Here is a 1,147-nt window from a genome sequence, read left to right on the forward strand (position 1 = left end):
AGACTGACTGAACATGTGAAAGTAGGCATGAGAAGGACTTTGTGGACAGACTTGGGATCATGGTGTCCCTCAACATCCCTTTGCAGTGATTGATGTTCCTGTTGGGAGTCTTGCCTTGTAGTCTGACCTTGAACTTGTGTGGAGAGGCAGACAGGTGGTTTTGCTTTTGAAAGTTTTGTGTGAGCAAATATTAGCAAATGTGATCTAAAATTGTGCTGTTTACATAGGTATAAGGCAAGAAGACTTTGGTCTCCTGGTTTCTTGAGCTGTGTGGTGACCATCTGTTTGCATAGGGCTTGGCTACTCTTTCCAGGGAGGCAGGGATGTGCACAGTAGGACTTAAGCAAAAGCACACAGGCTGAACGCAGCTGATATGCGTAAAGAGGTGGAGTCGGAGGTTCTCTTCAAAGGCATGGGGGCCATGCAACCCTCAGTTGGTGATTGGAGTGCAAGAGTTGGGAGCAGAAGGCAGAGACAAATGCCAGACACTTAGGCAGGCTCAGCCAAGCAGTCTGTTTTGTTTGTTTCACCTGAGACAATCACAGTGAGTGCAAACAGAAGATAAACACACAAAACAAACAAAAACAGACTTCAATCTACTCAGAGTTTGATTTAGAGGAAAGTATAAGACAGCCTTAATAAAAGAACTATTTTCCACACCGGGGACTGTTGTGGGGTGGGGGGAGGGGGGAGGGATAGCATTAGGAGATATACCCAATGCTAAATGATGGGTTAATGGGTGCAGCACACCAACATGGCACATGTATACATATGTAACAAACCTGCATGTTGTGCACATGTACCCTAAAACTTAAAGTATAATTTAAAAAAAAGAACTATTTTCCACCATGTACTAGAAAATTTTCTCAGAAATACACTAGAAGAAAATTTCACTGATGTCCTGAATGAACTGAATCTACTAACTAAAGAACCCAACACAAAAGAGGGGAGGCCCTCCTGGTTGGTAGGAAGAGATCAGCTGATGACCTCTGAATTCCAAGCACGGTTAAAACAGTATAAGAAAATAATTTCAAACGTTATGCTTATGATAATTCTGTTTCTTTTCATTATGCATTTTTACTAAATTTAAGTAACTGCTTTGGAATAAGATACATGATAATGAAAGGAAAATATAAGCAAAGGAGGA

This window comes from Homo sapiens, chromosome 5 (assembly GCF_000001405.40).
Source record: "Homo sapiens chromosome 5, GRCh38.p14 Primary Assembly".
Taxonomy (NCBI): Eukaryota; Metazoa; Chordata; class Mammalia; order Primates; family Hominidae; genus Homo; species Homo sapiens.